This window comes from Homo sapiens, chromosome 8, assembly GCF_000001405.40.
Source record: "Homo sapiens chromosome 8, GRCh38.p14 Primary Assembly".
Taxonomy (NCBI): Eukaryota; Metazoa; Chordata; class Mammalia; order Primates; family Hominidae; genus Homo; species Homo sapiens.
The window spans coordinates 25,325,999-25,342,746 of NC_000008.11; the positions used below are offsets into that span (position 1 = coordinate 25,325,999).

The 16,748-nt window shown below is 39.7% G+C and overlaps 1 protein-coding gene across 1 annotated transcript in view; it reads left to right on the forward strand.

Annotated features, from left to right (window-relative positions):
* The window catches only part of DOCK5 (dedicator of cytokinesis 5), a 231,023-nt gene that overhangs the window by 141,310 nt on the left and 72,965 nt on the right, over positions 1-16,748 (forward strand). The window contains exons 19-25 of the mRNA NM_024940.8: positions 6,253-6,350; positions 6,605-6,694; positions 8,098-8,198; positions 10,241-10,375; positions 14,879-14,990; positions 15,741-15,811; positions 16,403-16,509. Of these exons, the coding sequence (NP_079216.4) occupies positions 6,253-6,350; positions 6,605-6,694; positions 8,098-8,198; positions 10,241-10,375; positions 14,879-14,990; positions 15,741-15,811; positions 16,403-16,509 (714 nt within the window). The remainder of the gene's footprint in view (positions 1-6,252; positions 6,351-6,604; positions 6,695-8,097; positions 8,199-10,240; positions 10,376-14,878; positions 14,991-15,740; positions 15,812-16,402; positions 16,510-16,748) is intronic.

Genomic DNA, 16,748 nt, shown 5'->3' on the forward strand with positions numbered 1-16,748 from the left:
TTTCCCATTTTTTTCCAAGCAGTCAGGGATTTTCCATAAATTCAGCTGAATAGTTCAAAGAGGGATTCATTTGGTTTTTCCTTCAAATCTCTGATATCAATTTTAACCTCTCTTGTGTAGATTATGACATGTGCTAGCCAATATCAACTTCTTATTTATTTAACTTAAGTAATGTGTAAGGAACCCTACTGGATGTAGTAAACCAAGAATGAGCTGCCTAGGGGACTTGCGCTAGAAATTCTGTCTCCCATATGCCGTGTAGAGACTGTTGCCTTTGGCCTTGTAGACAGTTTGAGTGAGGTACAGGCAAGAGCTCTGCCTTAAGGGGTGCCAAGATAGACAAAAAAGTGTAGTTATAGGGTAAACCCAGGGATCAGATCCCTGATCTTTAGAAGGGCTCAGTGTTAGGTTTGTTTCAACAAGTCGTGGTTGACAAAAAGATAAGGATTGTATTTCAACTTGGACAAGTGGCTAGACTCCACAGAGTGAAGTTTAGGGCTAATCCGTATGTGCAAGTAAAAGCATCCTCACCAAAAATGAAGCCAGAAACATAAAAGACGTGACAAAACCGTCAGCAACATACCCCGTGTTATGGACAAAGCGAATCCATTAACAATGAACTGCTGGTAGGTTAATGGGTACAACATTTATGGAAGATAATTTAGAAGGCATATCAAGGAGTTTAACTGTCTTCAGACCCTTTGAGCCTGTGATTTGATTCCTGGAAGTTGCACTTAAGTAAACAATGAGAGATGGACACGAAGATTTATGTACAAGGATGTTGTTTCCCTATTATTTGTAACAGGGAAATACTGGAAACAACCCAAATGTCTGATAGTCAGGGTCAGTTTAACCACGTTTTATAATATAATTAAGTGATGAAATATATGCAGCTGCTAAATATGGTATTTCAAAACATAGTGAAGGACACGGTGAACTTTTTAACACTATATACAGTATGATCCCAGTTTTATTTAAGTATATGTGAGCAACCTGCAGGCAGATTGCCTGGCTTCAAATCCCAGCTCTGCCATTTACTAGCTGTTTCATCTTGGGCAAGTGACTTGATATCTCTGTGAATTGGTTTCCTTGTCTTTCAAATGGGAGCAATAATAGTATCTATTTCAAAGAATGCAGTAAATTAAAACACGTAAAAACTCACATTCGATCTATATAGTGAACACTATAATGTCAGCTATCACGATCATCATCACTATTTGTACACAGAAAACGATGAATAGGACTAACCCAAAGTTTGATAATTCTTGTTTTCTTTATTCTTTTTGGTATTTTCCAAATTTTTAACTATGAAATGTCAAAATGTTATTTTTTAAACTAAGTATGGTAGTATACTATATAAAGCATTAATGTTCTTTTAAAACTATCAAGGGATATTTGAGAGGGATAACACTTATTGAACATCTAGTAGATTATCCTTTCTGGACTACAGATTAAAGAAGAATAAAGAAAACAAGAATAAAAGTTTGTGAAATTAACTAGTAATGAAAAGCAAAAGGAATTTCTGTTAGAGATAACCATATTGTTACATTGTTTGTTATCTCCCTGTCAAAAATGTAGGGTTTCCTGACAACCCGCAGTTCTCAATGTAGACCCTTCGTTTGCTGATACATCTACTTCACCCCATCTTCTGAATGTTCTTAACTAGCCTGTACTGTCCCGATATGGTAGCCCCCAGACACATGTAGCTTGTAAAATTTAAATTAATTAAAATTGGAGGGTGGGGAGATTGGGGAGAAGTTGGACAAAAGGTACAAAAGCTCAATTAGACAAGAGGGATAAGTTCAAGAGATCTGTTATATATCCTCGTGTCTATAGTTAATAGTATAGTGTATACTTGAAAATTGGTAAGAGAGTAGATTTTAAGTGTTCTCACCACCAAACAATAAGTGAGATAATGTGTGTGTTAATTACCTTGATTTACCCTTCTACCGTGTGTGTGTGTGTGTCAGAACATCATGTTGTACACTGCAAATACATACAATTTTTATTTGTTAATTAAATTTTATTAATAAAATTAAATTATAAATCAGTCCGCTAGTTGCCCTAGTCGCATTTCAAGCATTCTGGTCTTCTGCAGCTGGTGAGTTTTGTGTTGGGCAGACGGATATACATTTTCATCATCACAGAATGTTCCTTTGGATGACACTGTATGCTTTATTTTGTCATCCTTATTCCTGATGTTTTGATTAAAAAAAAAGACAAACTCATCATAACACATACAAAAAAAGTCAGAAGTAATATCTTATTACAAAGAAGGGTTAAAAAGGCAAACCTTGTCTGAGTCAGAGAGGAGTGAGCTGCCATCCAAACAGACTGCGAGCAGGGAGAGGGAACAGGGTACAGAGAGGGAAAGACGGAGACTTGGCAAAGGCATCACGAGCATCAGGGAAAATGGGGTATTCCAGGGACAAATGATTGCAGATTATTCATGCATTTGCTTTCTTCTGACTTGATGGAAATTATAAAGAATGAATTTGATTTAATAAAAAGCTGAAGAACATTAATAAGCCATCAGCTAATTCTGTGAGGGTGTTGACTGAGTAGAGAGGGTAGCAGTGTTCTCACTGAGAGGGTGAACAAAGGCATTTCTCCTTCGCCTGAGGAGAGTTATTCAGACTCAAAAGGTTAAAAGCCACTGGAGTTTTAACAAACAGATCTTGGAGACTCTTTTGTTTACTTGATTTGTTTTTTAGAAACTAAAACAGACCAATTTGTGTGGGATCATTGGTTTCTGGGCCCACTGGAAGGTAAGAATAGATTTGTTTCCCAGGAAAAAGAGAGGAATGTGCAGGTCCCCAGAGGTGCGTGGCCTTGGGCCAGGAGGTTCATACTCAGTCAGTCATTGCACCCTCCAGCACCAACTTTGCCAGATCATCTCCAGCTTATTGATCAGAAAATTGAGTTTTAAAGTGGCAAAAAATCTTTCTTAAGCTCCTAAGTCGTGGACTTGTATTTTGAAAGCAGCTCTTTGTAGCTCCAAACAGTTTATAGTTTATCGTTTTGCAGTTACAGAGTCTCCAAGATCTGTTTGTTACGAACTCCAGTGACTTTTAACCTTTTGAGTCTGAATAGCTTTGTCTTTCTTTTCTCTTTAAAAGTATGTGTTCTTAAATTCTCTCCTTTAGGGTAGAAGGCAGTTACTACCCTAAATGTGGGGATTGTTATTCTCTTGCTTCTCTTTATAGTTTTGCCACATCTGTAGCCCTTAAGGTATATTGTTTCATTTTGCATTTTTTAATTTTATGTTAATAAATTAAATTATGAGTCAGTCCCTTAGTTGCCCTAGCCACATTTCAAGTGCTCAGTAATCTCCTGCAGCTGGCAACTTTTGCATGCCACCTTACTTATTTTTCGGTGGTGAGAACACTCAAAATCTATTCTCTTAGCAATTTTCAAGTATACAGTATACAGTACTATACAGTCTACAGTATTAATGTAGTTAATAATTGAACTGTCTAATTGAAGTCTTGTGTCACGTGTGAAATCATGTAACTTGCGCTTTTACTCAGCATTACTGAAGATTTGAAATATCCTGAATTCTTACACATTTCTGACAAGAATGTAAAATGAGGACAGTGACTTTGCATAATATTTAATATGGTTGAAGATATTCTTCCTGATGCCCCAGAAATCCCACCTTAGTTTTCTATCCCAGAGAAGCTGCTCTACCTGTATACCAGGAGACGTATGAGAATGTTCATGGCGGAATTGCTTATGATAGCAAAAAAACTAGAGACAACCCACGTGTTTATCAGCAGCAGAGTGGATAAACAAATTGTGTACACCCATACAATTGAATAGACACTATACAGCGAGAAAAAAAATTAACTAGAGCTACATGGATAAACCTGTATAAATCTTAGAAACACAGCAAGCATGGGGCTCTTTCTGTAACCCCGTGTCACTGCTCTCCTGGCCCTAAGACCTTAACAATTCACCAGATGCCAAAATATTTTCCTATGTGAGCAGTGATCTGGCATGCAGATATCACTAGGAAATAAACCTCTGGGCTGATAGATGGGTACTTTGCCAGAGCTGAAGCTGCTGGGTGAATATTCACCCCTGGTGAAGGGACTAAATCCTTTTCCTCCAGCAGCTATGAGTCAAGTGATGGAATGAGTGATACCTTCGACTAGCCTGTGACAGAAATAAGAGCTGGAGAATATGGAAGTAGATGGTGCCTAGTGGATGAATGAATATATTAATGATTGGGTTGAGCATATTATCAGTTTCCTTAGGGCTACTGGTTCCCTTTCCGTTCATTCATTTATTCCTTCATCAAACATGTATTGAACACCTAATAGATGGCTAGTACTAAGGCAAGATAAAAGAATGAATACTATATGATTCCTGCCTTCAAATGGCTGAGAACTATGGGAAGAGTCAAGGAGATACCAAGTACATCTTACCAAATACATAGTATTTCTGGGTATTTCAGGCAAAGGGAAGAATATACACAAAGACACAGAGATATTTCAGAACCTGCCATGGTTGGGCTGTAGTGATTGGATTTCTCTGACTGCTAAAGGGTAAAAGAGAATGGTGGTGGTTGGAAGTATGCAGGAGTGATATAGGTGGGGCCTTATTACATTCTCTATGTGGCATTGGAAGTTTATCCTGTAGACACGAGGAATCCCTAGGCACTAGGTTTTGGAGGGTGTTGATAAACACCCTCAAGAAGGACTTTGACTATTTATGAAAAATACATGTGTAACTACTTATATATTTCTACAAATTCATTGATTGAAAAATATCAGCCGGGCGCAGTGGCTCACACTTGTAATCCCTTTGGGAGGGATTTGGGAGGCACTCTGGGAGGCCGAGGCAGGAGGCTTGCTTTTGAAGCTCAGGAGTTCAAGACCAGCCTGGGCAACATGGTGAAAGCCCTTCTCTACAAAAAATACAAAAATTAGCCAGGTGTGGTGGTGCACCTGTAGTCCCAGCTACTCTGGAGGCTGAGGTGGGAGGAATGCTTGATCCTGGGAGGTGGAGGTTGCAGGTTGCAATGAGCTGAGATTGTGTGATTGCACCACTGCATGAGATTGCACTACTGCACCCCAGCCCGGGTGACAGAGCGACCTTGTCTCTCAAAGAAAAAAAAAGTATGTATTGCTACATTTACTAGATAGTGCTCTGAATAGAAATAGTAGCTTGATGTACTAAACTAGGTGATAATACAGTAACAGTCCAGATAACTGCAGTTTCTCTGTGACACACACACACACACACACACACACACACACACACACACATATATGTGTATTTCTTAATAGAGACAGGGTCTCTCTATGTTGCCCAGGCTGGTCTTGAATTCCTGAGCTCAAGTAATCCTCCTGTCTTGGCTTCCTAAAGTGTTGGGATTACAGGTGTTAGCCACTGTGCCCAGCCCCTTTGACATTTTTAATAGCTCAACATTTATTAAACCTGTAAGTGGCTTAAAGTTTCAAAATTCTCCATTGTAAGTCAAAAAATGTCTTAAGATTTTTATCCCAGACTTATGCTAAGGGTTATGAATCTGTTCCACCTTTTGTTTGAAATAGCCACCTGTCTGATTTGCTTGTCTATTTCTTCAAAGAACTCTGGGGAAAACAGTATGATAGAGTAGCAAGGAGTTGGTTTTTCAAATCAGATAAATATGTAATAAAATTCCATTTCTACCTCTCCTAAGACATGTAATTTAACTTCACAAAGCCTCAGTTTCCTCATCTAAAAGATGAAAAAAATAAAATCTGTGCAGTCATGATGTTGAAATAAATTAATGCATATATATATATATATATATAGAGAGAGAGAGAGAGAGAGAGAGAGAGAGAGAGAGAGAGATACACACATACCTATGTTCCTCTTTCCCTCTGAATCCACCCAGACATAGGTAGTGATAAGGGACAATTTAAATAAGGCAGCAAATTAAAAGTAGGAAGGTTACATTAGCATGCTTCTTAGCTTTACTTCTTATGACCATGATGTCATTATTTGAGAAATGTTAGTTTCAGTCAGATATTCTAAGTTCTTATGCATTAATAGTTAATTTTTTTCTCTTTGAAGAATGAAAGAGGACCACAAGGTTTTCTCTGACTTAGATAGGAGATAGTAAATTAAAAGAATATATAAGGCATCTTGAATTAGCCACTATTGAGAGCAATTACCTGTTCTAGAGAATTCTTTAGCTATGTCCTGAAATGGTCTGGGTTGTTCTCACCTGTATCTAATGTTTGTGGTTGTTCTTCCTAGTTGACCTGTTAGGCTTGTTAAATTGGCGTTCCAACTCCCAGAACATTAAACACAACCTAAAGAAGTTAATGGAAGTGGATGGAGGAGAGATTGTTAAGGTATGTTTATATATTCATAGTTAGAAATACACATACCTACATATATATACCTATCTAATTATACCTAATTGGTTCACCATTTAAAATTAAATCATTCATTGTAAATATAAAATCTACGTTGTTAAACAAGTGTGCTAGTTTTTTAAAAAATGCTATTTTAAACCTCTTTGATTTAAACTAGTTGTACCCAGATTTCTGTGGTGTGGGGCTGAATGAAAGCATCAAAATAACCTCTCCGTTTTTCTTATCTTCAGTTTTTGCAAGATACACTAGATGCACTCTTTAACATAATGATGGAAATGTCAGACAGTGAAACCTATGACTTCCTTGTGTTTGACGCACTGGTAAGCAGTTAAACATATTAACTAGTGTTTATTGTTGCAACTTTGTAGTTTTCAATATTTCACTATTATAAGTGATTGTGTGAATATCTTCTCACATAAATATTTGTTTACATCTCTCTGGTTATTGTTTTAGGCTGAATTCCTAGAAGTACTATTAGAAACAAATGACTTATATTTCAGGCCTTTGTTTGTTTCCTGTTAGGTCTCATTTTTTGATATGCTCTTTCTCATTAGAGAAGATAAGATGTTTTATTTTTATTAGAAATCAGGAATCATTTTAACTCACATTACCATGATCTGGAGCATTGTTACATGTTGGATTTGTGTGTGCACTGGTGTGTTTATGCAAGGGAGACTGAATTCACAAGTCAGAGGTGAATCTGAGCCTCATTAGGCAGAATATTCAACCCAGCAGAAAATTGAATTTGTCGCACAAAGCACTTAAACCTACAACCCATTGCAAGAATTGAAATCAGATCAGGGATAAGTGATATCAGAATCTGGGAAAGCCAGAGGTGAGGGTGGAGGGGAAGAAGCTGAAAGGCTCAAAGCAAGCATCGTTTTCACCTTGGTGGGGTGAAATTTCAGGACAGGATTTTACCTGAATGCCACAGCTGAGGAGGAAGGTCAGTTGCAGCTTTAGGCGATTTACCAGCTTTGAGAAACTAGTCAGTTTAGGAAATGATTAGGGTATTAAAGCTAAGGTTTAAGATAAAGAAAGAAAAGGCCACCTACTTGAGATCCAACTGGTTGGACTTGGGTTTATGGGAAAGAGAGACAGTGGTTATGGTTGCTGTGGGACAAGGTCTGGAAACAGATTCCTGAGGGACATAGCAGCTGGCAGTGGGCATAGATGGAAATCCCAAATGCCTCTTTCTTCTGACCCCTCTGTCTTAAACAGGGTAGTGTGGCTGATTTTAGGTCATGTGCCTGATAGCAGTGCAAGAGAATATACAAGAGGTAATTGGGAGATAAAACTCTGGTGCAGTTGTTACTGGGGGCACTCATAGTGTACACAGGAGAAAAATGTCATGGAATGTTTCATTAGCTGCATCCTTGGATTAGAGAAAACACCTTTCCAGAGCCTCCTTCCTCCTGCCCGTTAGGTTACCTGGGCATCGACTCCCCTGTCTTTGAGATAGTCAGCTCCCTGAGGCCAAGGATGCTGGCTTGAGTTGGTTTCTTCACAGCATTTAACATAGTGCCTGACACATAATAGTCTCTCTATTTATGCTAAATAAATACAATCCTCAAGACTTGACATCAGCTCTGGAATAGTAGAGTGGGAATGCTGCAGAAAAGATCCAGAGAGGAAAGAAGGCACCGAGATGTTAAAATGCGGCTTGTTGACAGAATACTTGGGATTGTGCAGTGCTGCTATTTCTATTTTTCACTTTTGGCAGGTATTTATTATTTCACTGATAGGAGACATCAAGTTCCAGCATTTTAATCCTGTACTTGAAACCTACATTTACAAGCACTTCAGCGCCACTTTGGCATATGTGTAAGTATGATCTGAAGGAACTACATGTTGTTGGATCTTTGGATTTGTACTCTTAGGACTGGATTGTTGAGAAACGAGACGGACCTATTACTATTCAGTAAATACGCCTGTTAAGGCAGAACTCTTATTCTAAGCTTCCGGGTGGAAAAAGGGAACCATCTAAGTATTCTAACTCTGGAAAGGGGGCTAAGATCAGGGCCTTCATTCTGGATCAGGCGAAATTTCCTTAAGGATCCAGAATAGGCCAGGCGTGGTTGCTCATACCTGCAATTCCAGCACTTTGTGGGGAGGATTGCTTGAGGCCAGGAATTCAAGACCAGCCTAGGCAACATAACAAGAACCTATCTTTACAAAAAATTAAAAAGTTAGCCAGGTGTGGTGACACACACCTGTAGTCCTAGCTACTCGAGAGGCTTAGGTGAGAGGATTGCTTAAGCCCAGGGAAGTCAAGGCTGCAGTGAGCTGTGATCATGCCATTGCACTCCAGCCTAAGTGACAGAGCAAGACTTAGTATCTAAAAAAAAAAAAAAAATCGAGCAAAATCAATAACAAATGACTCAACCCAGGATCTCAGAGGTTGAATGTCAGTGGGATTGGCGTGGGACATCAAGGAGATCAAACCATGAATTAAACAAGACCAAGTTTGATAGAAGAAAAGGTCATGCCCTCAACCCTGTACCACAAATGCTTTGTAAAATGTATTGCTTACAGGATATGAGAAGATTTCGTTTTCCCATCTTTTGCATAAGAGGCAGTGGTCTCTACCTTTTTTGTAGTGCAGCCTGCCTTCTATCATTGGTTTATGGGCCCCTGACTAAGGAAAGCAACTGATGTCCACTCCGCATTCCTCCCCAGAGCACTCAGCTCACCATGGCATTGTGTGTGCCTGCCACACCCACCCGTTGCCTTCCAGTTATTGTGCAGAATGTGATAAATAGTGAAAGGAATGTAGCTGGATTGGTCCATGATCTTCTTATGACAGTGGCTTAAGCCACATCCTGTAGATTGCTGCCCACTGACTTGTCAGCAAGAACACCAGTGACAGTGGCCGTTCCACCCAGGAGCCTCACATCCAGGTGGGCAATAGCTACAAATGAGGAAATCCCATCACTGTGATCATACCGAGCCAAATGCAGCACTCCAGGTGGTAGTAATCTGGGTTTACTTGCAAGACTTGATCAATTCTATATGTTTCCTTTTTAAAAAATAATAATTCGGCCGAGTGCTTGAACCCAGGAGGCAGAGATCACGCCACTGCACTCCATCCTGGGTGACAGAATGAGACTCCATCTAAATAATAATAATAATAATAATTATAAGTGACTATTATTATATTATTATGTATGACTATTATTGTATATAACTATTATTATTATTCTAGGAAAGCTCAAGGATCCCCAGAAGGAAAGTTTAAGTTTAAAATATCAGTGCCCTCCAAAGTCTAAGGGATAGCACAAAATGAAGACCATTCCTAGCCCAAAAACTCTAGAAAGACACAAAGAGCAACCTATAACCCCAGAACAGCTTTATCTGTTGAATGCTTAGAACCATGAATGTTCTGGAGAGTGAGCTCCTCTTTCTTCACTCCATAAAGTTTCTATCTGGCTCCATATTGATGGATCCCAATGGGTTGAGGCAGAATAAAAGGAATTAGGCTTCTTTTAAGTCAACTCCTGTAGGCAGGCATAATCCCTCATTTATGGGAGCATCTGAAGATGTCAGAATTGCATACCAGAGATTAAAATATCCTAGCAATTTGGGTCACTTCAACCATTTCATTTCATAACCCTCCGGTTTAATCCCACAAAGGGAAAGAAACCTTTTCTAGTATTTCTCAGCAGAAGGTAGTTCCAAACCTAGATGGCAGATGAGGAAACTTAATTGGAAAAGAGTTAATTTTGCTGTTCAGGGCATATTCTAGAAGATATAATTAGTTATGACTTCTACTTCCAGGATGCCATGTTCCCCTCTTAGATAACTTACCCAAGCCTCAGAGTATCCTGTTGCTCATTGGCTTAATTTTTCTTTCTCATTCTTCTAAGGAAACTCTCCAAGGTACTGAACTTCTATGTGGCTAATGCAGATGACTCCAGCAAGACTGAACTGCTTTTTGCTGCGTTGAAAGCCTTGAAGTACTTGTTTAGATTCATCATCCAATCCCGAGTGCTCTACTTGAGGTAATGTTAACTGCAGTGAAGATGTTTAGATTATCAGCTGTCACTCTGTGTGCTTTTTCCCTCACTCTGCACAGTGGTGTTCAGCTCTGTGAGCAGTTAGTTCTTAGAATTGCCTTATTTCAGAACTGCAGGGCTGAAGATGGATTTGGGCTGCGTGTCTGTTGGAGAAGACTCATGAGAAGTTTTTGTAGATCAGCAAAATTCTGGGGCAGTAATGACCTCAGGACTTGGGGAAGCAGATTCCTGTGGAAAGATTGTACCTAATACAGCAGATGACTTCATGACAATATTGAGTGTGCAAATCTAGGATCATGATCTGCTGTCGCTAGCAGAAGCAGCAGTCATCTCAGGGGAGGTGTTGCCTGAGATGAGTGTTTCCTTGTTGACACTGTGCTTAGCTACCTGGGCAACTAAGCACTAGAGACAGGATTATTCCCTGTTTGGATTTCTAGCATAACAGTTCCATCAAAAACAGAAGAAACTGCAAAAGAGCAAGTACCTTTGCAGGGAACATTCACAACCCCAGTGACTTTCCTACCCTTCAGAAATAGCTGTATTTCCAAACTGTTAAAATTTTTTTCTAAGGAAGAAAGAAAAGGTTTGTAGAATTGAGCATATGTATTTTTAAAAGAAACTTTATTGAAAAAAATAAAATTAAAGGCAAACAACCTGCAAAAAGGTTACATATAGTACAGATGAAAGTTTAATAGCTTTTCTCAGTTAAAGCTTTTATAAATCAATAAAAGAATGATAAATAGCCCTAATGGAAAACAAAAACAGGTAATTTACAAAAGAAAAACTTAAATGGTCAATAAACTTTTTAAAAAATTTCATACTATCAAAAGAATTTTGATACAGACGCACACACATGCATGCACACACACACCATCTTTTACCTATACATTTGAAAAAGATTAGACATCTTTGTCCTTGATGAGATTGGGCAAAAATTGGTCCTGTATTTCAGTTTTGATGCTAATGGAGATATAAATTCTTCAGGATAGAAATAGATAGTCTGAATAAAAACAAAAAAGAAGATTTTTAAGGGAAAGGAAAAAGTGTCACATTTGTCCAGTAATACCTCATCTAGAAATTTATCTAATGGAAAAAAAAAATCTTATCAGGTATGACAAAAATGAATGTGAAAGTATGTACATTCAGTCATTTCAAATGTAGGGTATGTTAATGAGGAAAGACGACCATGATAGATTCTTTTTTTTTTTTTTTTTTGAGATGGAGTCTTGCTCTGTCGCCCAGGCTGGAGTGCAGTGGTGTAATCTTGGCTCACTGCAGCCTCCACCTTACAGGTTCAAGCGATTCTCGTGCCTCAGCCTCCCGAGTAGCTGGGACTACAGGTGCATACCACCATGCCCAGCTAATTTTTTTGTATTTTTAGTAGCGATGGGGTTTGACATGTTAGCCAGGATGGTCTCGATCTCCTGACCTCGTGATCCCCCCGCCTCGGCCTCCGAAAGTGCTGGAATTACAGGCATGAGCCACTGCGCCTGGCCCGATACATTCTTAAATGATAAAACAAAGGTATTAAGCATGAGTACAGTATGATCTTCCTTTTAAAATAATACAGATTTGAAATATGTATAGTAAAGAAGACTGGATAGATCACATGCTAAAGTGTTTTTTTGTTGTTGTTTCTTTAGAGTTTTTTAGGGTTTTTTGTTTTTGTTTTTGAGACAGGGTCTGGCTCTGTCACCCAGGCGAGAGTTCAGTGGCATGATGTTGGGTCACTGCACTCTGCTTCCCGGGCTCAAGCGATCCTCCAACCTTAGCCCCCCAAGTAGCTGGGACCAAAGGGCACGTCACCATGCCCAGCTAATGTTTATATTTTTTGTAGAGACAGGGTCTCTCTATGTTACCCAGTCTGGTCTCAAACTCCTGGGCTCAAGGGATCTGCCCACCTCCGCCTCCCAAAGTGCTGGAATTACAGGCGTGAGCCACCGTGCCTGGTCTGAAATGTCAATAGTATGAAAACTTCATGTGACAGGGTTGTAATTTATTTTTTCATTCTTTATGTTTTTATTCTTTCAGCATTTGATTTACATTTATTATTCTATTTTTATTTGCTATTTTTTATATTTTTTTGAATTTTTAAATGAATATGTACCTTTCTGATTGTTTTTAAAAAATGTTTAATGACTTGAAACCCATCTGGCTGAATGACTGTCCCTCCTTTCCAGGTGGAAGTGGGCAGTGTTTTCCCCACACATAATTTATGCTCAGTCTCTGTATTTGCTTTCTTTTCAGAAGGTCTTCTTTTAAAGTTGTTTCATTATATTTTCCAGTTATGGTACATTTCCATGTATTCAGAATGGTTGGGGCATGGAGTGTTCGACCAAGGGAATATTCTCTTACCCAAAAGTTTGTATGTATAGTAAACCCTGATGTCCAAAAATCAGTATCAACTTTAAACCACAGAAAGAAAACCTGAGTGTGAAATTAAAATATATTTTCTTATGGATGGTTCACTAGTTCATTTCCTCTTCATTTGTTGAGGCACATCAGAGTCCTCATTCTAGACACCAGATAGGACAGTAAAGGATGGTGAGTGTGGAAAACAAAAGGTTAGGGCGACAGAGGACCCATGAAATTGACTAGGAGAGTTGCTTCATTACACACTGTCTGTGATGGCCTGCGTGTGGTTACTTTTCCCTTATATGTTATTAAAGAAGAACCTGAGCTGGGGAAGAGACTGGCAATGTGCGTCCCCTGGTTGCTTAGATTTAATGGTCACTTCAGTGCACTGGCCATGTCTGGAGGCTGCAGTGGAATGTCACCTGGTCCCTGGGCCCCCTGTTGCCTTCCGCAGAGCTTAAATCTCTCTTATGAGCTCATTACCTGGCTGGATTTCACCTCAATCAGCAAAACACCAAGAAAAAATTGTAAATTGCTCCCAATAGGATGTTGAGAAGCTTGATCTTAATCCCTTAGCCCCCTATCATTAGTACTTAAAAAAAAAATCAAGTCACATACGTAGAGTGCCAAGTGTTCTGCATTGGTGCAGGGCTTTTGCAGCATATGTGACCAGGCTCCCACTATGATGGTGTGTGTGGGTTCCATGGAGTTCAGGGAGGCAAGGAGTAAAGAAATCAACCCCTAAATGAAGGCAGTGTTGGAGTGGTGGAACCAGCAGGGAAGGCTGCCTGAGCTGAGCTGGGTGGAGGAGGAGGTGGTATCATGTGAGCTGAGACTGAAAGATGAAGAAGCAGCCTCCAGAGATGTCAGGTAAGGGTTAGTGGGAGCAGGACCTGCCCCAGGCAGGGACCTATAGGGCACCAAATGTGGATGCGTGAGGAGTAACGAGAACCCAGTGTCGGGAGAGAGAGCGGGAGTGGCCAGCAAATAGTAAATGATGTGGGGCCTTGTAGGCCATAGTGAGGAGCTTGGATTTTATTCCAAGTGTAGTGGGAAGCCGTTGGGGGACAACTAGAGAAGTAATAAAATCTGGCTTATATTTTAAATGATCATCTCATCTCCCACATGGAAAATGGATTATCGAAGGCTACAGGTAGAAGCCAGTGACCACTTTAAGAGGCCATTGTGGTTTAAATGTGAGATACTCCAGCCCCATCTCAGAGGCAGATGGAGAGAATGGACTGATTCGAGCTCGTAGGATTTGCTGTTGGGTTTGATGGGGCAATGAGAGAAAGAGAAGAAACATAGATAACATCTAGGTTTGGGGTGGATCTAGGTTCGAGGTGATGCTGTTTGCTGACATTTGTAATACTTAGAGTTGAGCAGGGAAATCAAGCGAATTCTGTTGTAGGTGTGTTAATTTTGAGATACTTTGGGGACTACATTGCAAATAAAGTTCTTTTCTAGTTCTGTAAAATGGGTGAATTGAGAATTACCATTAACCCTCTGATTAACGATCTCAGTGAAGTTCATATTCTTTGGGTACTATATAAGGTATAGGTGAATGGAGGAGATGAATTTAAATGTACATGTGTGTATTTGAGTGTGTGCATGAAATTTTGAATTCAAGCCATCCTATTCTTGACCAGTTAGTGGTGAAATTGCCACCTATTATATGTGCATATGCACTTTCATTTGGGACTTTTGTGTGTCTTGGAAAGTGCCCAAATATCTCTTGATTTCTACTTATGAGAAAGAACCCACTTTTGAGTTGGTGGACAGATCTTTTGGAGACAAGTAGAGTACTTTAATTAAGGCAAGCATGTATCAGCGAAGACTAAGGGGTCTTGTCCTGGAAGGCCCTTATGGTAGAGCAGGCCAGCATCGGCACGGGCAGTTCAGTGGCTAAAGTGGAACAAATGGTTTTGTAGGCTGGGTTGGGGATCAGAGCCTTTCCGGGTTGAGCGGCTTCTCTAACCCATTGCCTGAAACTTCAGATGACTGGGGCTTAATTAGGTGAGTCAGAATGATTAGGGTGATACGATGAAGGAGAAGTGAGGGAGGCAACAAATCTATTTTAAAATTTCTTTTAACAATGGAAAGTCCAACTGCTTTTGTCTTTTTCCTATTAAGATTTTATGGGCAGAGCAAAGATGGAGATGAGTTTAATAATTCAATTCGCCAGTTATTTCTTGCTTTCAATATGCTGATGGACAGGCCTCTGGAGGAAGCCGTCAAGATCAAGGTCAGCCTGGCAGCATCATGGGTAACTCTTCTTAGGCTGTGGTAAGGATGTTCTGGGACCGCTTAGAATTGGCCATCATGAGGGAGAAACAAAGTGAATCATGGTTCATGCATAGCTTATGAATTTTAGTATGATTTACAGAAAATAAAGGAAAAAAAATCCATTTTAACTTCTACAGAGCTTGTATTTTCAAGTGTCAACTTGCCAAAGACAAGCTACCCAATTAGACATCCCTTGAAAGGCCATTGTGAACCCTGTTTGACCCCATGATTTCAGCAAACTGATCCCAATGCACTACAGGTGACAAATTTTTATTTTTTGTCCCTCATTTTACCCAGAAGTGCAAAGTCACCATCTTTATTATCATAATTTTTTTAAAAAATATGAAATATATAATCCCTGAAGGCTCAAATGTGAACTTTACTATTAATATTTATTTTTTGCTCTTTATGGCCATGTTGCAAGAGAGGCTTCAAGAATTTAACCACCTCCTTAGGCAGAGAAATGAACTCCAAGTGGACAGAGCCTGCTGGCAGTAGAAACCAGAAAGCTGTACCCCCTGGCATCTTCAGGAAAAGCATTTTAGGAGATCGTGTAGAGCAATGCCAGCTTTCCTTTTTATTGTAAGGGTATCTGTGTCCAGTTCCCTATATAAGTTCCAAGCACAGCCTTTTCTTCCTGGGATCAAGCAGTAAATACTGTATTTGTCTTGCCTGGCAACTGAATTTGCCTTTGGTGTTTTTCTTACAGGGGGCAGCTTTGAAGTACCTTCCTAGCATAATTAATGATGTCAAACTTGTATTTGATCCTGTTGAGCTCAGGTAAATAGCAAAACAAAATTTTGTTCCTTAACTCTAACAGAAACAGCTCCCCTGCTTGGCTGGAGCCTGGGCTGCTACACCTGGCTTTTATTTTTCTAAGAAGTATTAACTGAATACCTTTTTGTGCTCAGTTCTGTGGAAGATGCAAAAGAACATCCAAAACCTGCCCTGAGAGAGGTTTGCACTTTCTCTGGGAAAACAAGACATGCAGACATAAAATCGATTACAAAAGATAGTGTATAATGACATGCTTCCAGCCCTACCCCTAAGTATCCCAGCAGTGCAAAGTCAGACTGCAATCAACATGAGAGTGGAGTTGCCAAGAAAGCCATTTTCATAAAGGCGGGTCTGGAAAGTGATGATGGACGTGGGTGTTCTTTGGCAATTTAAATACTCAGCTCTAAGGCAGAGCCCTCCAGTAAGTGAGGATAAAATCTCCCTTGCTGCCATGTCATAAACTCTCAGGTCATTTTGTAGTTTTCCAGGTAAATCTCTCCATGCCCAAATCTCAGAGTGGAGGAGAAAAGTTTATAATGATGCCTTCAATTTGGCAGAACGAAGACACTACTAACCCTGAGGTTTCTCTCCCAGCGTGCTCTTCTGCAAATTCATTCAAAGCATTCCTGACAACCAGCTGGTTCGGCAGAAACTTAACTGCATGACCAAGATAGTAGAGAGCACTCTTTTTCGACAGTCAGGTAAGTCTCCTTCAAAACTTGCTGCATGAGGTTGCAGTGAGCTGAGATTGCACCATTGCACTCCAGCCTGGGTGACAGAACAAGACTCCATCTCAAAAAGCTAAAACAAGCTGCTGCATGCTGAGATGACAGCCCCATTTCTGCAGCTAACACTTGGGTTTTGTTGTTTGTTTGTTTTTTCTTGTTTTTTTTTTTTTTTTTTTTTTTTTGAGACGGAGTCTCATTCTGTCACCCAGGCT